We start from the raw sequence: 20,521 nt of genomic DNA, 5'->3' as shown, positions 1-20,521 counted from the left end.
AGAGCAGTCACAGGCTCTGCTGCTCTGCCTGTGTGCAAAGGTCAGGACTCAGATTTTTTATTATTATTTTTTTGATACAGAGTCTCACTCTATTGCCCAGGCTGGAGTGCAGTGGCGTGATCTCAGCTCACTGCAACCTCTGTCTCTCGGGCTCAAGTGCTTCTTTTGCCTCAGCCTCAGTGGCTGGGATTACAGGCATGCACCACCACGCCTGGCTAATTCTTGTGTGTTTATCTATATATGTATATATATATATTTTTAGTAGAGATGGGGTTTCACCATGTTGGCCAGGCTGGTCTCGAACTCCTGACCTCAAATATCTGCCCACCTTGGCCTGCCAAAGTGCTGGGATTACAGGTGTGAGCCACCGTGCTTGGCCAGTATATATATTTTTTTCTTTTGATATAGGGTCTGGCTGTCACCCAGGCTAGACGGTAGTGGTACCATCTTGGCTCACTGCAGCCTCAACCTCCCAGGCTCAAGTGATCCTCCCGCCTCAGCTTCTGGAGTAGCTGGGACCACAGGCATAAGCCAGCATGCACGGCTAATTTTTTTAATTTTTAGTAGAGATGGGGTCTCACTCTGTTGCCCAGGCTGGTCTTGACTCCTGGGCTCAAGCAATCCTCCCACCTCAGCCTCCCAAAGTGCTGGGATTATAGGCGTGAACCACCCACCTGGCTAAGACTGAATTTTAACGCCATGAAATTTTACACAGAAGCACAGAGGGTGGATCAACACATGAGACCTGGTGATGGCCCAGAGCCCAGGGGTTAGCATGCAGCTTCTGAGAAACCTCCAGGGAAGTCAGGAGCAGCATCTCCTCAGCGCTGCCCTCAGGCCCAGCTCACTGGCAGGCGTGCTCTTTTCTCTTTGAACCACGCCTCTTAAGAAGGCGAGGCCTGGCACCTCCTGCCATATTGCTACAGAGAAGAGCAAGTCCACAAAACCCAAACCCTGCTGCTGAACCCCCACACTTCCAGGACAAACTCTAAAAACAGGAAAAAACGAAAAGAAAATGCACAAATCCAGCAAGATCCACACACTTCCAACCTTATTTAATGCTTTTAATTAAGGTGAGACTCAAAAAGGGGGATACTTACGAGTTATTTGACCCAAAGCTGAACCCTGAAAAGCAGAATAAGAGTGAAGTTAAAGCACGCATCCACTCGAAAGACAAAGGTGGTCCCCATGCTAAGTGTCTGCCCTCCTCTGTGCTTCTTGTGGGAAGCCCTCCGTGCCTCCACCACCTACAGGAAGGCAGGAAAGGTACACACAGAAGCCCCTTTATTCTGAGTTTGTCCTCTGGAGCTACTCAGATCCCCCAGAAGGCAGAAAAAATCCTTTACTTTTTATGAGTTATCTTCTTGGTATTTTAGGGTTCTTCCTCCCTCCTCGGCCCCAGCTGTAGGCAGAGGGTCTCTGGCTTGGCCTCTCAGCTGTACTGGACCACATAGATCCATTCATTAGGAAAACCTTTTTTTTTTTTTTTTTTTTTTGCTGTTGTTGTTTTTCCATCCATTTGCTTCCTCTTCTTTTTGGGGGCCAGAGAAGCAAGATGGCTGGATTCTAGGCCTGGTTCTACTGCTAACTGCTAACACTTAGTTCCTTGGAGTTTCTGTTTCTTCACGGGTACAATTGTAATGATACCTAAATTCTGTGCCTTGTCAGTTTACTGCAAGAACAAAATGGAAGACACATATTCTGCCATCTGAAGAAGCAGAGTGTTAAACAAATGCAAGATGTTTTGTGAAGTTTCTATGCCTTTTTTTTTTTTTTTGAGTCTGCTGGCTTAGATTTTTTAAACCAAGGCCTAGTAAGACCATTATTATTTTGGGCTTCTCAAATCCTGAGAGGAAATCAAGACAGTAATTTCTTTGGTAAGAAATGACACAGTGTTCTAAGTCTAACTAAAACCTAAAAAAAAATATATATGCCAGGTGCTGTAATCCCAGCACTCTGGGAGGCCGAGGTGGGTGGATCATGAGGTCAGGAGATGGAGACCATCCTGGCTAACACAGTGAAACCCCATCTCTACTAAAAACACAAAAAATTAGCCGGGCCTGGTGGCGGGCGCCTGTAGACCCAGCTACTCAAAGGCTGAGGCAGGAGAATGGCGTGAACCCGGGAGGCGGAGTTTATAGTGAGCCGAGATTGTGCCACTGCACTCCATCCTGGGCAACAGAGCGAGACTCCGTCTCAAAAATATATATATATATATATGTTTCAACCACTTTCAGTATGTTACATATTTATTTATTTTGAGACAGGGTCTCATTCTGTCACCCAGGCTGGAGTGCAGTGGTGCAATCACAGCTCACTGCAGCGCTCAAGTGATCCTCCTGCTTCAGCCTCCCGAGTAGCTGGGACCACAGGTGTGTGCCACCATGTCTGGCGAATTTTAACATTTTTTGTAGAGAATGGAGTCTTGCCATGTTGCCCAGGCTAGTCTCAAACTCCTGGGCTCAAGTGATCCTCCTGCCTTGGTCTCCCAAAGTGCTGGGATTACAGGCGTGAACCACGTGCCCAGTCAGCTTTTAAAATACTAAACAGACTGGTCAGGTAAAACATACTCATTTCTTTGGGGGAGAAGGCAAGAGGGACCCATTTTGCTTGTGAGGGGAGAACTTGTGGCAGCTTACCTCCTGTGCCTGATCCAAAACCAGAGAATCCGCTACTCTGGGTCCCAAAACCAGAAGTCTGTTGGGACAGTGATCCGAAAGTGGGGGCATTCTGACTCGCGAGCGTGCCGAAGGATGTGGTGTTGCTGCTGCTCCCAAACCTGCGCTCCAGTGAGAAACAGACTGAGGTCAGTGGGGCCTCTCACCACTTGCCCATCTGCAAGCCTCAGCCCCCTGCTGTAAGTCCCAATACACACGACACTCATGATCCAGGGTGACAGGCTGGGCCTAACTAGCAGCCTTTCAGAGAGAATGAGCTATCGCCCAGGGCCAACTTTTATCTCTGCTCTAGGAAGAAAAATGGCAGGACTACAGTATGAAATCCAACCTGGCCAGTGTTTTAGTTTCCATCCCCCATTGGAACACCAGGGCATTTGGGAACTATGCAGTACACAGTTCCTGCTCTACCTCCAACAATCCTTAAGCTTTATTCTATCATTTTAGCATTTCTCACTTACCGACCATTCCCCCACATCCTGCTCCCATTTATTTATCTTCAGCTCCTCTTGGGATCTTGATTCTATTTACTTTTTCCAAGTCATTTCATTCAGGATTTTGTATTTGCTTCCTGAATCAATAATTACTACCCAAACCAATGTAAAAGTGGCCACTATTTTCCTTCCCCTGCTCGCCCCACCTGGAGACAATCCCCTGTGCCCCCTCACTCAGTTCTCCCTCCAGATATGGTCCAGCACACAAGGTGGCACTGTGTGACCTATCAGAGCCCCTTGAATTGTTTGCAGAGGAACTCGGCTGGGTTGGGGAGAGCTTCTGGGGTCTGGAGGTGACTAGGTGAGGGAAACGGATCAGTGGTTTCTGGGAGAAGGGGCAGCACCTGGGGGCAAGAATCAACCCCAAAGCAAGAAAAAGTATCTAAAACTCTGCCTTCCCACCATTCTATTCACTTTTAATGGTGAGGTCAAGGCTCTTTCCATACAAAGGTGGCCAAGGGATCTGCTCTCATTGGACTTTCTCCCAGGAGCGGCCTGCTCCCTTCCTCCTCCTGCCTTGGGCCTCATCAGCAACAGCCTGCCCTTCAGGGTCGGAGACAGGCTCATGGCCAGGGACCTGGAAGAAGGTAATGGGCTCTTATGGAGATTTAATAACTGACCTGGCATTAACCTTTTTTAGGACTGACTAACCAGCCAATCGGGATTTGTGTGAGAGCCGCCCCAAGGCAGAATATACTTTTCTACTAGTAAAGAAAACAGCTGGTTTCAAATAAATAAATCAATTCACAAGATACCCAGCCAACCCAAACCTTCTACCAACTCTGTGGTACTGTGTGCTGGTTCATCACTGCAGAGAACAGCATCCATTAAGACCTCTGAGAATACCAGCCTAAGTGGGTCTCTAACTGTCCTTTCAAAGCTTTCCTTAACTTTAATTCTTGGGGTTTCCTGAGGGCAAACCTAAGGCATCAGTCTCCCGTGAAACAGGAGAAGCAGCACGCCAACCCTCTCACTCCTGCTGCTGCGCTCCAGCATCTTGCACGGAGGGGAAGGGTGTGAGTAAGAACATACTATAGTTTATTTTCAAGATAAAGATGCTGTCATCTTGCCAAGACTCAGATCCAAGTATCTCAACAATTCCCCTAGACAAAATCATCTCCCCTCCCCCAAACCTTCAGCTCATGCTGAGCCCAGTACTGCGGCAAGAGGCGTTTTAGAACTCCTTTCAGGCATCGACACCTCCTTTGAACAAGAGACTTGGTAGTCATCCCGTGTACATTTTTTAAATTGGGATGTTGTGGTGTGGTGAAGGTTTTTTTCCCTTGGGGTTTTGGCAACCACACTGAAATTCTGCCCTTAAAAGCGACTCCCTAAAAATGGCCTTTTCCAGTGCAGACGCACACGAGGCAATGAGAGCAGCTTCGAAATCCCTGATCATCCAGGATCTTCCCACGGGAGGACCTGTGCAACTGAATACTCACTCTGGGGGGCTGCAGGGGAGCAGGGGACACAGGGAGTTGTTTGTTCAAGGACAACGGGTCTAACACAGAATAATCCCAAGAGGAAAGAATCTGGTGAAAACCATTCATTGAGGACTTCCTAACAGAAGCTCCACACCGGGGCACCTCTTGGCTACAAAGCAGTAGTTAAGGCAGGGCTGGTGCCTTCCTTTAGCCCCAGCAGGAGAACAGGGGCTCTGATGACCAGCATTTCTCATACCAGGGAACAGCAACACAGCTGAGGTCCACCATGAATTCAACAAAGCCTGGCTTGAACGAAATGAGTCTTACCCTGGAGAGGTACAGGAATCCTTGAGGGAGTTGTTCACAAATTTCAAGGGAGGGGCCTTCACCTCATGGTCAAATTTCTTTTCAGAGCAAGAGTACAGGCCCCTAGTGCTTTTTGGCTGGCGTGTGGGTTCCCAAGGGCCCTCCCCAGGGGGCTTACCCGAATCCTCCTGCGCTGGCAGCTGCAGTGCCCTCTCCGAACACTTTGCCTCCCGTCGAGCCCAGAGGGCTTGTAAAGGCTGGGGCTGAACCGAATGCTGGCACCCCTCCAAACCCAGGGGATCCCCCAAAAGTAGGAGGGCTGCCAAACACTGGAGCAGCACCGAAGCCACCTGAGCAAAACAGAGGCAAACAAACAGAAATAGGGAGAAAGAAAGGAGGAGACAGGAAGAGAAGACATTGAGCAATGAGAAACCAAATCAAAATAGGAAGAAAAAAGGGAAAAGAGGATGTTAGCAATTCAAATGCAAGAACTAGAGTAAAGGGCAACACCCCCCCTCCCCCCCGCCCTTCTATCAAGAAAATAGTAATGAAAACAACAAAACAAAAGCCCTCAAACCAAACCACTCCCCTCCATTCCTAGCAGAGGGCTCTGGGGTCCACTCAGGAGAGCTCCTGCAGACCCTGTGAAGTCACTGTGAAGCCGTGTGAGCAGACCTCCAAGAGCCCACTCGGTGCACCTTCCACCCCTCCCAGGTCCTCTGAGCTGTTTGGAGTGAAAAACCATTCTCAAAAACTCCAATCCCTACCTAGCTGACAAAAGATGACAGACTATATTACTTATCAGTACACAGGCAAGACATCCAGCTTCATAGAAACCCAAATTATAAAATCAGAGGCTCAAAACCTCCTCTCAGGGAGAATCCCTGAATTGGGTCATAGCAGAGACAGAGACGTGTATGCTGGCGCCCAGCCAGGTGCTTTTTATTTATTTACAGCCTGATGGCTCCTACGTCTCTCATCAGAGTCTCCCTTTCTCTCGCTCAGTGGAGGTTTGTTTTTTTTTTTTTAAATGCTTTTTTCCTGCAGTCTGGAATTACTTCCCAATGAAAAAACACACCAAATTTCTTCTTTGGAGGCAGGCTGCTGCATAAATCTAATAAAATAATAAGTCAACAGTGAGGACAGCCCTAGAGTTCAGATGCCTTCTGCAACGTTGCCAACACTGCTGCCCAGTGGGCTCAGGCTGCCAGAGGGCAGCACCACACAGGTGGCCACACAGACAAGGGTCAGGTCACGCACAGGGCACCCTACTCTGATTGCTGGTGATGCCTGTCAGGCAGGAAGACAAAACATCCTCTCCTGAGCTATTCCTGATGCGGGTTCCCAAACTTCCAAGATACTGCTGAAATCATTCTAAAGTATTAGAATAGACACTCAGTGAGTGTCTTCTTGAATGAATGGAATAGAATGGCATAAGAAATGTGCTCTAACTGGGAGCACCCTCTAAAGGGAGTACTTCTTAAGGTGAGTGTTGGCCTATGAACTGCGTGCTAGCGGGAGTAATGGTGGCCTAGCGACAAGCCTTTTCTCCCCTTTCAGAAAGTCAATCTGTTGTTAGAGGGATGAAATCCAGACTTCTTATTGTTTATGTAATCACAACACAAGCTTCTGCCATCTGAATCAGGAAAGATCAAATCCTGGGTATGAAAAGTTGTCAGCTGAATCCCTCAGTTAACTGTTATTTTGTGATTCACTCATGTGCCTATTTGCCATTAACAGTGGTAGGCTGCACAACTGAGAAGATACTTTTTTGCTAAGGCTCGTGTTTGGGTTAACATTCCGCATGTTAAAACACTGAGTGAAATTCCAAGCCATGATAATGGAGACTGTTGGGTTATAAATATAACAGACTGGAAAAAAAAAAGTGCTAAAAAACCCTTACAGTTGAATTATTTAAGACTGATCACAGATCTAGTTACACTTTCTTCCTAGACATGCAGGGCGCTATCTAGTACCTTGTATCAATATTGCTTAGACTTCTTGGTGGAAGGTGAGTGAAAAATGGGAAGTCATGATGATACAGAAAATAAACTGGACAGGGGAGGGGTGGCGGTTAAATATACACAGAGAGAAAAAGCCCCCAAACAACACACCTGGGTCACAGCCAAATTAAACAGGAAGAAAACAGTCACTCTGGCTTAAAGAGGCAACTCTCTCCTGATGGCAGGAGGGGTTTGATTTTATCAGTTGCCGTATTTTCATAAATTTCTTCTCCAGAAGAAACAAATTTTCTAATAATCAATGATGATAAACTTTCTGATTTATTGAGGGCCCACTATATGCCAGGTGCTTCACAGCAGTTTTCTTAAATCTTCCCAATAAGCCTGGGATCCTTACATCACAGGGGAGGAAACTGAGACTTAGAGAATATGCCACTTGTCCCAACTTCAGCCAGCTGATGGGTGCTAGAGCTGGGACTGGAACAAGGTCTGTGCGACTCAAACGCCCACCTCTCATCTTCCCCATCATTCATCCCCTGCCTGCCTCCCTCCAAATCTAACACTTTAGCGAGACAGCAGGGTGTAGACCACTGACCATGGTGGGCAGCAAGGCCATCTTCAGTCCATCCCACCTTCCTCCTGTCCTCTCCCCGGATGACCTCCAGCAGGATAATTTTATAATGCAATTTTACTGAAGGGAGGATAGATACTTTTGGAATTTTTCAAAGACCCATCCAAATCATCAACTTAAAATCTCTCTTAAAGCAAAAAGTGCCCTGATGCCTGGACAGGAAGGCAGTTCCTCTATTCACAGCAGCCCTTCCTTCTGCTCGGGACTTCCAGTCCCCTCTTTCAATAGAAAAAGCTCTCCCAGAACCAATACGAGTTCTGCAGCAGAGAGATGAAGTCCTGAAACATGAGGGGGAGTGGCCTTTCCCCTGCCCTCACTTTGATGTTTATGGTTACTAGTTCACTCATCTTATGTATCTGAAAGATAGTTGTTCTCTATTCGAGGCCTCAATCTAAGTATTAGTTTCATGGGGCAAATAAGTACTTACTATGAAAAGTTGGGGCATACATTTTCTCTAAGACTAGACAAATAAAAGGGTCAGATTTTCTTTCTTTTTTTTGAGACAGAGTCTTGCTTTGTTGCCCAGGATGAAGTGCAGTGGCATAATCTTGGCTCACTGCAATCTCTGCCTCCCAGGCTCAATTGATCCTCCCACCTCAGTCTCCCGAGGAGCTGGGACTACAGGTGTGCACCAACGTGCCTGGCTTATTTTTGCATTATTTTTTTTTGTAGAGACGGGTTTTTGCCATGTTATCCAGGCTGGTTTCAAACTCCTGGACTCAAGTGATCTGTCTTCCTTGGCCTCCCAAAGTGCTGGGATTACAGGCGTGAGCCACTGTACCCAGTGTCTGAATTAGGTGTGATTTTCCTTTTTTCTTTTAGAGATGGGGTCTCACTATGTTGCCCAGGTTGGTCTTGAACTTTTGGGCTCAAGTGATCCTCCCACCTCAGCCTCCCAAACTGCTGGGATTACAGGTGGAATTTTCAAAGGTCAGATTTCCAAATCAATGGGGATATAATCTCAGGATAAAGAACCATATATAGGAAAACCGTTAAGAGTCAAAGAAAACATTATCAGCCTCCTAAAAACATAAAAAGTCTTGATGATCGATGAACTAAAATTCCCCAGTTGAAATGTTCACGATGCACCTTTCTAACTGGGATAAAAGCCTTGTGGCCCTTTCATTTTTAAACAATGCACTGTGTGTGTAGCAAAAAGAAAGCTGTGAAGCCCATTTCAGAATATTCTGTTTTAATTTCTAGGAAAACAGTATTAACAACTAGCAACCAAAGAAAGACTAAGCTACCTGAGTCACAATCTGAGGTAAGGTGCACAGTGGATTTGGAAACCACAGCACTTTAGGCTCTAAATATGAGACTCCATGTATTAATTTGGGGCAGCCTTACTCCCAGGTCAGAGCCACTGATGCATCTAGTCCTGAGGTTAGATCCTTCCTCTGGAATTAGCATATTTCAGAGCATCCCCTGCATACGAGGGCCAAGTGTCCTGCCCACTTACCCAGGGGGAGTTTGCTTTAAAAAGCTGCTTGCTCAAACAGCCCACCCTGGACCACCTGTCTTAAAAAAAACTCTTTTCACACAACTTTCCATCAACAAGGACAGGAGTGCAGACTCTCCGCAGATCTCAGAGACAGAAACAGGGTGGAGAGGCAGATGACAGAAATGAAGTACATGTTTTCAGATCTAAACATACACTGTTCATTAAAAATTTGTAGTTATAAATACATCATACATGATTATAAAAAGGCATATAGTTTATATAAATATATACTTTAATAGTAATGCTGGGATAAAAAGTAGTCCTAGTAATGTTCCTTTTCCTTGGTTACATGGGTGTATTCCAACTGTGATAATTAATTCAGCTGTGTACTTATGTGGATTGTGGATAAACATATACTTCAATTAAAAATAAAGTGATTTGGGGGCTGGGCATGGTGGCTCACGCCTGTAATCCCAGCACGTTGGGAGGCCGAGGCGGGCGGATCACGAGGTCAGGAGATTGAGACCATCCTGGCTAACACGGTGAAACCCCGTCTCTACTAAAAATACAAAAAATTAGCCGGGCGTGGTGGCGGGCGCCTGTAGTCCCAGCTACTTGGGAGGCTGACGCAGGAGAATGGCGTGAACCCAGGAGGCAGAGCTTGCAGTGAGCCGAGATTGCGCCACTGCACTCCAGCCTGGGCGACAGAGCGAGACTCCGTCTCAAAAAAAAAAAAAAAAAAAAAAAAATAAATAAATAAATAAAAATAAAAAAAAAGTGATTTGCGAAAGAGGGGAAAGTAACATACACATTAGAAATTAAACAGATAATCTGCTTTGACCCTCACAAATAATGGGAACCCCAACAAATCCATGACTCAGGATGCTTTCCTGCAGATACTTCAGTTATCATTTCCTTATGTGTTCCTTTATTTTGTTTGTTCTGCAACTGTCAAATATTTACAATGTTTTCTCCCCAAGAAGAATCTGTGTTCTCTTAAGAGTTGCATTACAGCTGGGCGCGGTGGCTCATGCCTGTAGTCCCAGCACTTTGGGAGGCCGAGGTGGGCGGATCACAAGGTCAAGAGATGGAGACCAGACTGCCCAACATGGTGAAACCTCATCTCTCCTAAAAATACAAAAATTAGCTGGGCATGGTGGCACATGCCTGTAATCCCAGCTACTTGGGAGGCTGAGGCAGGAGAATCGCTTGAACCAGGGAGTTGGAGGTTGCTGTGAGCTGAGATCGCACCATTGCACTCCAGCCTGGCGACAGATTGAGACTCCCTCTCACAAAAAAAAAAAGAAAAAAAAATGTTGCATTACTTGCATTCTATGCTTTTAAACATGTTTTGGAAGACCTGGAATCATGTTAGGAATGTAGCAGATGCTCAGTAAATATAAAAATAATGCGGAGGAAACAGTTAACTTCTTTACTCCAATCCTACTCTCTTAAGATAACCACCCTAGAGATGTCTCCTTCCAGATATCTATGCATAAACAAATACATATATAAAGATAACCATAACAAATAGACATAGGAGTACCTGTTTTGTTTGGAGAGGAAAACCCAAAGCCTTGGGATGCCACACTTCCTCCTCCAGAGCTGAAAGTGCCAGTGGGTTTCTGCTCTCCAAACGACGAGCTGGCAAATCCACCAAATGTCTTGGCCCCACTGTTTCCAAATAGGTTAGAGGTATCTGAAGAGATGAAGATGTGAGGGAGGTCAGAGGGAGACAAATGTCCTTACCTGCTTCTCAGAACACAGAAAAAGTCTCAGTTGGGTGTTTGGAAAGATGGGAGTGACAAGCCGCCTAGAAGCCAAGGGAGCGGAGCGACAGTGACAGCAACAGGTACTTTCTCTGATTTTCACGCACCTTGCTGGGAAGTTTTTAATCATTCTGGCACCCAGGCTCAGGATTTCCTGGCATGATTTTATAGGCACAAAATAAAGGAGCAGTGAGAGGTCCCACTGAAAAGGCTCCTTTGTAGAAGCTCACTGGGTGCTCCTGCAAGTGTCAAGACTGCCCAGCAATGGAGGCCATGGGCTCTGCCCCACAGGCTGCTTTCTTCTGGAAAACAGGGCTTACTTTGATTGGTCTCTTCACACAAGACCAACTTCAAATTTTGTCAAACTAGGGAAATTAAAGTTAGAACAAATCCAACCCAGGCAAAATGGCTTCTAGCACTTACCTCCTGCTTTTATAGTCAAGTTCAGCATGCTTATGGCTGCCTGAGCTGCTCAGAGAATGGCAGTGAAATGAGAAAAATCATGGTGCTCCTGTCTTTGATCCAAGGGGATATAGGGATGGTCTGAAGAATGTTAAAGAGGCTAGCAAGACTTCCAGTCAGATTTCCTCTAAGAGGTTTAATGAAGCCCTTGACCTTTTAGATACTTATCTAGGGGGTCATCCCCCTCTCAACTATGCACTGAATTCACTCCAAGAATTAAAGGAAAAAAGGAAACTACTAAAAACCAAGATGGCTGAGAATTTTTTTTCACCTGTTACAAGAAATGCAAACCTGACAGATAATAATAGATAAACAGACAAAGTCCACATACACAGCAGCTGTCACTCAGATAATATAGCACAGGATATGTCAGAGTTTTCAAACTTTTTTTGGGGGGGGTGGGCGTTGGTGGGAAGGGAAGGAATAACTCACGTTTCCTACCACGTCTAGATGGGTGTTTTATTGAATATATGCCCACAAGGCAGGGAGAAGCTATCCTGAAGTGGAGTGGATGCCCAAAGACACAAGGCATAAATGGGAGGCACAGCATATGCTCTGGGTAATCACTGGGTGGGTAATGAAGGACCAGTCTCTCCCTAAGCCAGTCAGGTGTTCACAAGCAAAGTGAAAGGAGAGGACTGGAGGAGGGGGAGCACTTAACATCATTTTCAAAGTCGAGCTGTTGGAAGAGGTGGCCCCCCCATTAACCTGTCACCTCCCCAGGTCTCTCAACTCATGCTGCTACCAACCAACTCTAATAGGAGAGCCACCATGGTTAATACGTCCAGATGCAATGCTCTTAATCCACAATCCAGGAAGTGAGTGGCCTCACTTTGGGACCCAGTCACCTCAAATTTCCAGGCACCAGTAATACAATATGACTTGGCCCATCACATCATGGTCACTGCCCTATAAAACCACTGCTGACAATTTGAGAGCCTGGCTAAGGACCCACATGTCAGGTATGTCAGGTACTGGCAGCTGGGTGGTTAAGAAATCCCTTTGTATCACCCTCATAACTCGGTACCACAGGATAATGTATCCCTTGACGGAGTCCCACAAAATGGCCTTCTGAGCAGTTTGACCTTCCCCTTATCGAGCTAGCCCAAAGTTACGTCTGATTCCTTCAATGGCAGTACATTTGACAATGGAGATGAAAACAGGCTTCTCAGCCATTCCGTTTACTTGGTATTTCAAGAACAGATTTTTGCACTTTGTTAGTGCTAGCAATGCAAAATTCAAATAGCAAACAAATTCAAGGGCAAGACTGGGGTTGAATCTCCTCTTGGAGAAACTTGGTGCAACCATATGAAATGTGAGGTGAAATGATGTTATTGGGACAGTGGTGGGAAGTCAGAGATCATTTAGAAGTCTTTGGGCTTTTTAATCTTTTTCTCTCTTTAAGAACTCTTTGACTTTAAAATCTTTATGGCATATCATAGTGGAACAAGCAGTGAAGTTTGCAGTCAGACCCGGGTGAGATTACCTAATAGCTGTGTCACCCTGGGCAAGGACTTAACTATCCTAAGTCCCAGTTTCCCCACACACAGAACAGGACAGCAATTGTGACTCTGCAGGGATGCTGGGAAGATAACATGATGCACACAGGGCACTAGTGTGGTATGTTGTAGACTCTCGGAAAAGGCTGCTGCCCTTCTCTGTTCCTTCAACCTCTTCCTTCCACATCTCAATCACACTTCAGCTAGTAAGACACTGAGCAGGTCAGCAGGAGATAATCAAATCCTTTTCATTTTTAAAAGATCCCAAGAATGACACCATTAAAGCTGTAATCACTCTCATTTACAGTCTCTCAAGGAGCTCTGCATGTTGAGACATTTTACCATTGATTTAAACTGCTCTGAAACAAAGTAGCATAAAACAATGACTGAGTCTCTGTTTCTAATGTCAACAATGTGTTTCTTGGTTTTCTCCTAATGGTTCCAAAATAACATAGTCTCTAGTTTTTGAAAATATGTTACCATATTCTCATATTACCATAAGAGAATATCTTGGCGGACCGAACAATATTTCACTGTAGAAGATTCTTCTTGACTTGTAAATAAACTATCCAGTAAAAAAAACAAGTTTGTCTTTGCATAGCCATCTGTGACTGACACTTTAGGGGTGCCAAGTACAGGTAAAACTGGCATCTGCTCTGGGCTTCCACCCTGCTGGCAAAACATGGATCTTCTTTGGTCTTTTATTTGGCAAAAACACTAGCATCATCCAACATCAGGGCCTGACCCAATCTGAATTAAATTATACTTAATATAAACTGGATAGCAATTAAATCCGATACAGAGTATCAGACCAGGCCCCATATCATCCTGCAGGTCTAAAGTCATTGAACAAGAATTCAATGCATACTCCGAAAGGGTCTCTCAGGAAGCTCTTGCCCAGGATACTTTCCAAGATATTTTCTTAAAGAACAGTTGTAGAGGGACCCTGTAAACCCACAAGATCATCATCAAACGGCTTCTTCATCTTCTGATGAGACAAATATGTCTTTCAGGACCCTAAACAGAAAGAATGTGCTGGGAATGGCCCTACACAGTGTCCTCAGGACAATACTAAAGGAGGCAACAGGTCCTTATGGGTAACAATCCACAGTGGTGGTGAATTTTAGATGTCTCCATGGGTTCCCAGGTTTTCTTTAGTAGATTCTATGGGGATGACAGAGAGAAGAAGCCCTTCTTGCAAGCTTTGAGCTTCTGGATACAGAACATGCCAACTCCAAGTACTGGTGTTCTCAGCTTGTCTTTTGCGGTCATTGTTATAGTTCTCACGACTTCTCAGGGGTAAAGTGGGCAGTTTCAGGGCAAAGCAGCCCGGGGCATAAATGTCACAAAGGGGACTGCTCAAATAACTCTCTATAATGGGGTCTTTTCCATGCATAAATGTTGCCCAAAAAGGCGTACCTGGGAGACGTTCTGTAAACAAGGCCAATCAGAGCTCGGGAAACGCAGCTGGACTAAATCCTGGCTACGCCACTTAGTAGCTGTGCAACTTCTGCAGTATACATCTCCTCTTGGACCTGATTTTCCTATCAGTGAAATGGGGACAGCCACATCTAAAAGCACTGTTGTAAGAAGTGGTTAGCTCACGTGCATTGAGCTTCTGGCACACAGCAGGTGATTAATAAAGGCTGGTTTCCTTCTGCTTGATGGTTTGTGTAGTGATGAAATCCAAGGGCTGCAGGATTTCCAGAGAGGGAGCGATCATGGTGGGCCTGAATGACCCTCAGGCAAAGGTGCAGTGCACACAGAAACAGCCTTGCATTCATCTTTTAAAGAAGGACAGGCTCAGAAGGTGGGTGCAGGGTGCCAAGTGAACCTGGAGGAAGTGAGGGAGGGATGCAAGCAGACAAACTGACCAAACCAGAAGGAATGTGCTGGGGAACTGAGTACAGTCAGAAAGGTACTTTGGGGCCAGCTCAAGGAGGGCCCTGAATTCCAGTTTCAAGTTTATTTCATCTTTATCCTATAGTCAGTGGGAAGTTGCCCAAGGGTTTGAGTAGGAAAAGGGGCAAAATAAATGCAGTCTTAAGACTCGGGTTTGGCATGGATTTTCAGACCACAATGGAAGAGCCAGGGGGAAGGGAGAAGAAGATTGTGATGAACAGATGACCACGGGGAATGCCCCATAGCAAAATGGGGCGGGGAGTGCGGGGGTTGGTGAGGGGAGGGAGAGAAGGTAGAGATAAGAAGAGAAGCAGAGGAGGAATTGTTTGAAAGGCAGAAGGAACCAGGAGAATCAGTTCATACAGTCCAGGAAAGAAGTGGTGCTCAAAGCATCAAATGATGCAGAGTCAATTAAGGAGAAAGAAGCTGTCACTGATGATTCTGCAGAAACGATCCTGAGTACTGTGGTGAGGACAATGCCTTTCCCCAGACGACTCCCAGCTCTTCCTTCTCCACTGTTCCTTCCTTTTATTCTGTACTTGGTGGCCCTCAGAGTTAAAACAATTCCTGTCCCTTTCACTATTGAATCATACACCTAGTACCCCAAAAACTATTGAAATAAAATCATATAGTTTTTAAAATAATACAATGTTAAGTGTTTCCTCTACTCCTTCAAAATCACTTAAACTTCCCTTAGGCACACATGTAAATTGTTGGTTTATAGTTAACAGCCAACATTTAGAAGATGAAGACTAACAGGTTATCTGGTATCAAGAATAGTTATGTGTTTACTTTAAACCAGAATTAGAAGAATCAGCCAGTAATGTTTGACAGGCTGGGGAGTCCTGGTTTGTAGGGTTTTCTGATTTCCATGATATAAATACTCCACAATGGCTCATTTCAGGTTACCCCAAACGATGTCACCAAATGAACAACTGGGAAGATGTGCTTGGCTGGCTCTCATGTGTCCGTGCAAACCAGCTGCAGCCAGCCACTGACAGAAGGCAACTCCTTGACAGTCAAGAGCCATGGCATTAGAGATGAGTAAACGAATGTTTATAGGGATATGACACATTTAACTTTTAACAAAATTGGCCAGTAACACAACCTCGCAGATGATACCTTAGCTCTGGGATAAACCCAAATTTCTAACTGCAGTGGAGCATGTTATTAAGTGTCTATTCTGTGCCAGATTCTGTGTCTGGCATGTGACATATAGTCTAGCTGAGTTCTATATCTGTGACTTTCTGGCTCTGTGACCTCAGAATTCTGGGCTTGTTTCCTCAATGGAAAATGAAGAGCCATAAAAGGACGATGTTTTCAAAGTATGTGCTATGGAGCCTCACGGTCCTGTGGTGCCAGCCAGCTGTGTGTTTTGGAGTTCCTGACCCCTGCTTCAGCATGAACCTACTTTTGTTTTCCTTATCAGGATGCTACTTAAGAGTTCATTGGCAAAAACAGTTTTTGAAAACTACTAGACTTGATTTCTAAGATCCAGGATTCTAAATCCCTCCTGGCAGACTGAAACCTAAAGAACAAAAACTTCTGATTACATAATTTCACAAGGTAAAAGGTATGTGTCTCTTGACAATAATCTTTCCTTATGTATTAGTGGAGTGGACAGTGACATCAAAATAACTAGGTTTTTGTTTGTTTGGTTTTTGAGATGGGGACTTGCTGTGTTGCCCAGGCTGAACTAAAAAACTGACTAGTTTTTGATTTAGGAGTTTAGAAGGGCAAATCAGGATAGAAAGTTTTGCTAACTGCACAGGCCTTAATATTAAGGAAACATCTGTCATGACTGCAGAACACTAGCTCATGATTCATGGAGATCTCACACAGCACAACAGATGAGAGAAACTTCATGTAGGGCACATTAAATGAGAGAAGCTGAGACAAACAGGACAGGCTCCCAACTTCTAATCTCAGCTTCCGCCTGAGCAGCAGGATAAAGATCTACACAAACAGATTTCTTTCATTTCCAACCATGAATACACAGGTCAACAAATAACTTTTAAGGCCGAGCACGGTGGCTCACGCCTGTAATCCCAGCACTTTGGGAGGCTGAGGTGGGCGGATCACCTGAGGTCAGGGGTTCGAGACCAGCCTGGCCAACATGGTAAAACCCCGTCTCTACTAAAAATACAAAAACTAGCCAGGCTTGGTGGCAGGTGCCTGTAATCCCAGCTACTCGGGAAGCTGAGCTGGGAGAATTGCTTGAACCTGGGAGGTTGCAGTGAGCCGAGATTGCACCACTGCACTCCAGCCTGGGTGACAGAGCAACACTCCGTTTCAAAAAAAAGGAAAAAAAAAAAAAAAGCCTGGGCGTGGTGGTTCACGCCTGTAATCCCAGCACTTTGGGAGGCCAAGGCAGGCGGATCATGAGGTCAGGAGATCGAGACCTCCTGGCTAACATGGTGAAACCCCGTCTCTACTAAAAAAAATATAAAAAATTAGCCGGGCTTGGTGGCGGGCACCTGTAATCCCAGCTATTCAGGACGCTGAGGCAGGACAATGGCATGAACCCGGGAAGTGGAGCTTGCAGTGAGCCAAGATCACGCCACTGCACTCCAGCCTTGGTGACAGAGCAAGACTCTGTCTCAAAAAGAAAAAAGAAAAAAAAAAAAAAAAGAATTTTTAAAATTAGCTAAAGAAGGCTGGGCATGGTGGCTCATACCTGTAATCCCAGCACTTTGGGAGGCCGAGGCGGGCGGAGAAGTTTGAGACCAGCCTGGTCAACATGGTGAAACCCTGTCTCTACTAAAAATATAAAAATCAGCCAGGCGTGATAGCACGTGCCTGTAATCCCAGCTACCTGGGAGGCTAAGGCAGGAGAATCATTTGAACCTGGGAGGCGGAGGTTGTAGTGAGCTGAGATCACGCCATTGCACACCAGCCTGGGCAACAAGAGTGAAACTCTGTCTCAAAAAAAAAAAAAAAAAAAAAATTAGCTAAAGAAAGTACTGGCAGATACAGCTTCAGATGAAAATAAAACAAAAATGTAAGAGGTGAGAAATATTAAAGGCTTCAACTTTTGGGTGACATCTCCCTACAGGAGCTGAATTTTAAGGAAAATTTGGAGAGTACTATCCAAATGAAAGTCTGCATGCTCTCCTCCCAGCATCCTCGGCTTGCTCTGCTGCTGCTCATTTATGCTTGTCTGCTTGCATTCACTTCAAGTCACTCCAATACTAAGAAACAGAGCGATTTGGGCCTTGGGAGAGAAGAGGGGAGCAGCTCAATACACAGATCCTCTCCCTGCAGCTCTGATATCTTTTCATGATTATATAGGACATCTCATTAAAAAACCAAAAATAAAAAAGCAAAACAGATCACACTGCTTTGGGGAAGATATTTTAAATGAGCCTTCTAGATTTTTTTTTCTTTTTATATTTGTCACTGAAGCTTTGATAACACCCTAAGAATGACAATGGCATTAGGGGACCAAGGGACTGGGAAAAGTCTTCTCAACTTACTTGAGGTAGCTGTGGATCCAAAGCCCCCACTGGCCGAGCTGAATGGGTTTTTGTTGGCTGCATCCTGACTGGGTTTTCCTCCAAGGCCACTGAAGAAACCTCCCCCTCTTCCAGTGTTTCCAGACCCAAACACGCTACCACTGGAAGAGGATGATTGCTAAAAAACAAAAGGGTCAGGAAGCAAGATAGGATGAGAGGTCATCGTGAAATGGCAGGCTGCATCCGTGGGCAGGAGGTGCTCACAGCTGGCACAAATGGAAAAAGCAAGATTAGTTCTGGTACAAATGCTCTAACCACCACAAAAGAAGCTAGACTCTGGACAGGGACTTCCTATCTATGAGAAGTTCTCAAGCTATTCCATGTTCACAGTTCTCTGAAAACATGATTTATGGTAGGTGGGAACTTTTAATGTTTATCTGCTACACTGCCCGCAGTGTCTGTTTGACACAATGCCAGGGTCAGGAAAACCAACCCCACAAGAGATCCACCAAATAAAAAGTTCGAAAACATTTACAAGCTATTACGGACACCACTTATTCTGATTCCTCCAGCGTTTGGCTGAACTCATTAGCAATGGATGATAAGTGATTTTCACTGTCTTTCTCTCCATTTGTGCACTTTTATTTCATAATGACTTTCCCAGTGCTGCAGAAGTAAGCTTAAATTAGCTTCATTGTTGAAATGATGACCAAAGCTGAATTCTGTCCAAGTTTGCAAATCTCATGCTCAGAGGATGCTGCTAGCACAGGGGCAAATGCTGACTCGAGGCTGTGTCAGGTCCCAGACACTTAACTTCTCTGGAAGCTGGTTCTTAAAGAACAACTGGGCTACATTTGAGGGGCCATTCACCTTAGTTAAGTGTCATCTCTCCGTGGCTGAGAATGCAGAATAAGATGGACTTTGGAAAGGGGCCACTGTGCATAGAAACTTGCAAGAGCAGAGCGGTGCTATGGATCCTCTCCTGTAAAATGGTGGTAATAAACTACCCATCTCAACACAGCGGAGAGTGAATTACGTGAGCCAAGAAATGTAACACACTTTAGAACAGAGCCTGAAACAGACTTATATGCTCAAAAAATGGTTGCTGTTCAGTGTTTTAACCACAATGAACCAAAAATCAAGCACTCTGTATGTGCTAGGCACATTCCTAAGTATTTTCTAAGTAATCACTTAATCTCTACTCATCAAACCTCCAGTGGGCCACTTCTGAAATGCCCCCCACCCCCTAGGGTATCCCCTCCTTTCTACTCTGGTCTGAGCCACCTAACCCCAACCTTTTGCCCAGACTATGCAACAACTTAGCTGGTCTTTTGCTCCCACTACAGTCTACGTCCACACAGCAGCTGGAGCACTACTTGCAATGGCAGTCACATCATTTCACTCCTGTCTACCAATTCTAGAAGGCCCAACATGATCTGTCCCTTTTCCACTGCTCTGACATCATCTTTTATCATCCTCCCCCTCACTCAGGGCAGTCACACATATCTTCTGTGCCTCAAATACAACAAGCTAATTTCTGTCTTAGGGTAACATACTTAATGTACTTCCTAGTCTCTTTTTTTTCCCCCTTTAAATTTCTTAACAACAACAACAACAACAACAACAACAACAACAACAGTACCAATTCACTACAACCATTTAATGGTGAGTCACAGCTTTTAAAAACTAGGAATCCAATTCAGTCCTAACAGCATTGGCCCTGATAACTAGTAAACTGCCATGGAAAGTTAGAAAACCTAACAATGAATGCATGCATGTGGAAGGTATTTGACTGCTTAGCTGACGTCCATGCATCAGGCTGAAACACAGAAAATTGCCAGTATATGAGCATTTTGCCTGAAAAAGCTCAGAAACCTCAAATGGTTCAGCTTAATTTTTAAAATGTGATTTGACAGGCTGGGTGCAGCGGCTCATGCCCATAATGCCAGCACTTTGGGAGGCCGAGGCAGGTGGATCACCTGAGGTCGGGAGCTCAAGACCAGCCTGACCAACATGGAGAAACCCTGTCTCTACTAAAAATACAAAATTAGCTGGGCGTGGTGGTGCATTCCTATAATCCCAGCTACCTGGGAGGCTGAGGCAGGAGAATCGCTTGAACCCGGGAGGCAGAGGTTGCAGTGAGCCAGTATAGTGCCATTGAACTTCAGTCTGGGCAACAAGAGCGAAACACCGTCAAAAAAAAAAAAAAAAGTGATTTGATAAATAATGGCTTCCCATGAAAATGAAGTAGATCACTAACATATTTTACTGAAGTCAACATGAATTGATAGTTATTGCATCCTCATAAATGGGTGAGAGAGAATTCCATTCATTTTAATTGAGATAAATAACAACAGGCTTTAAAACATAAAATTATGGAAAATCTAAAAACTACAAAATTATGGAAAATCTAAAAACTACAAAAAGCAGACAGAAGAGTATAATGAACCCTCCAGACACCCATCAGCCAGATTCAACAATGCTCAACTCATGGCCTGTCAG

The 20,521-nt window shown here is 45.0% G+C and overlaps 1 protein-coding gene across 3 annotated transcripts in view, besides 2 other annotated features; it reads right to left on the bottom strand.

The window, feature by feature from the left end:
- The window catches only part of NUP214 (nucleoporin 214), a 109,078-nt gene that overhangs the window by 1,255 nt on the left and 87,302 nt on the right, over positions 1-20,521 (bottom strand). For all 3 annotated transcript variants that reach the window (NM_005085.4, NM_001318324.2, NM_001318325.2), the window contains 5 exons: positions 18,041-18,197; positions 10,479-10,631; positions 5,078-5,249; positions 2,640-2,779; positions 1,101-1,125 (listed from right to left, as the gene is read on the bottom strand). In NM_005085.4, coding sequence (NP_005076.3) covers positions 1,101-1,125; positions 2,640-2,779; positions 5,078-5,249; positions 10,479-10,631; positions 18,041-18,197 — 647 coding nt within the window. The remainder of the gene's footprint in view (positions 1-1,100; positions 1,126-2,639; positions 2,780-5,077; positions 5,250-10,478; positions 10,632-18,040; positions 18,198-20,521) is intronic.
- Positions 4,603-5,601: an enhancer, noted in NCBI's record as "H3K4me1 hESC enhancer chr9:134103195-134104193 (GRCh37/hg19 assembly coordinates)". NCBI's record gives its function as "activates a minimal SCP1, AML or CMV promoter by ChIP-STARR-seq in primed H9 embryonic stem cells {active_cell/tissue: H9 hESC(primed)}" and the evidence as "EXISTENCE:reporter gene assay evidence [ECO:0000049][PMID:30033119]".
- Positions 5,602-6,601: an enhancer, noted in NCBI's record as "H3K4me1 hESC enhancer chr9:134102195-134103194 (GRCh37/hg19 assembly coordinates)". NCBI's record gives its function as "activates a minimal SCP1, AML or CMV promoter by ChIP-STARR-seq in primed H9 embryonic stem cells {active_cell/tissue: H9 hESC(primed)}" and the evidence as "EXISTENCE:reporter gene assay evidence [ECO:0000049][PMID:30033119]".

Source organism: Homo sapiens, chromosome 9, assembly GCF_000001405.40.
Source record: "Homo sapiens chromosome 9, GRCh38.p14 Primary Assembly".
Classification (NCBI taxonomy): domain Eukaryota; kingdom Metazoa; phylum Chordata; class Mammalia; order Primates; family Hominidae; genus Homo; species Homo sapiens.
The sequence above is the reverse complement of the archived record's forward strand: the minus strand, read 5'-3'. Positions and strand labels throughout refer to the sequence as shown.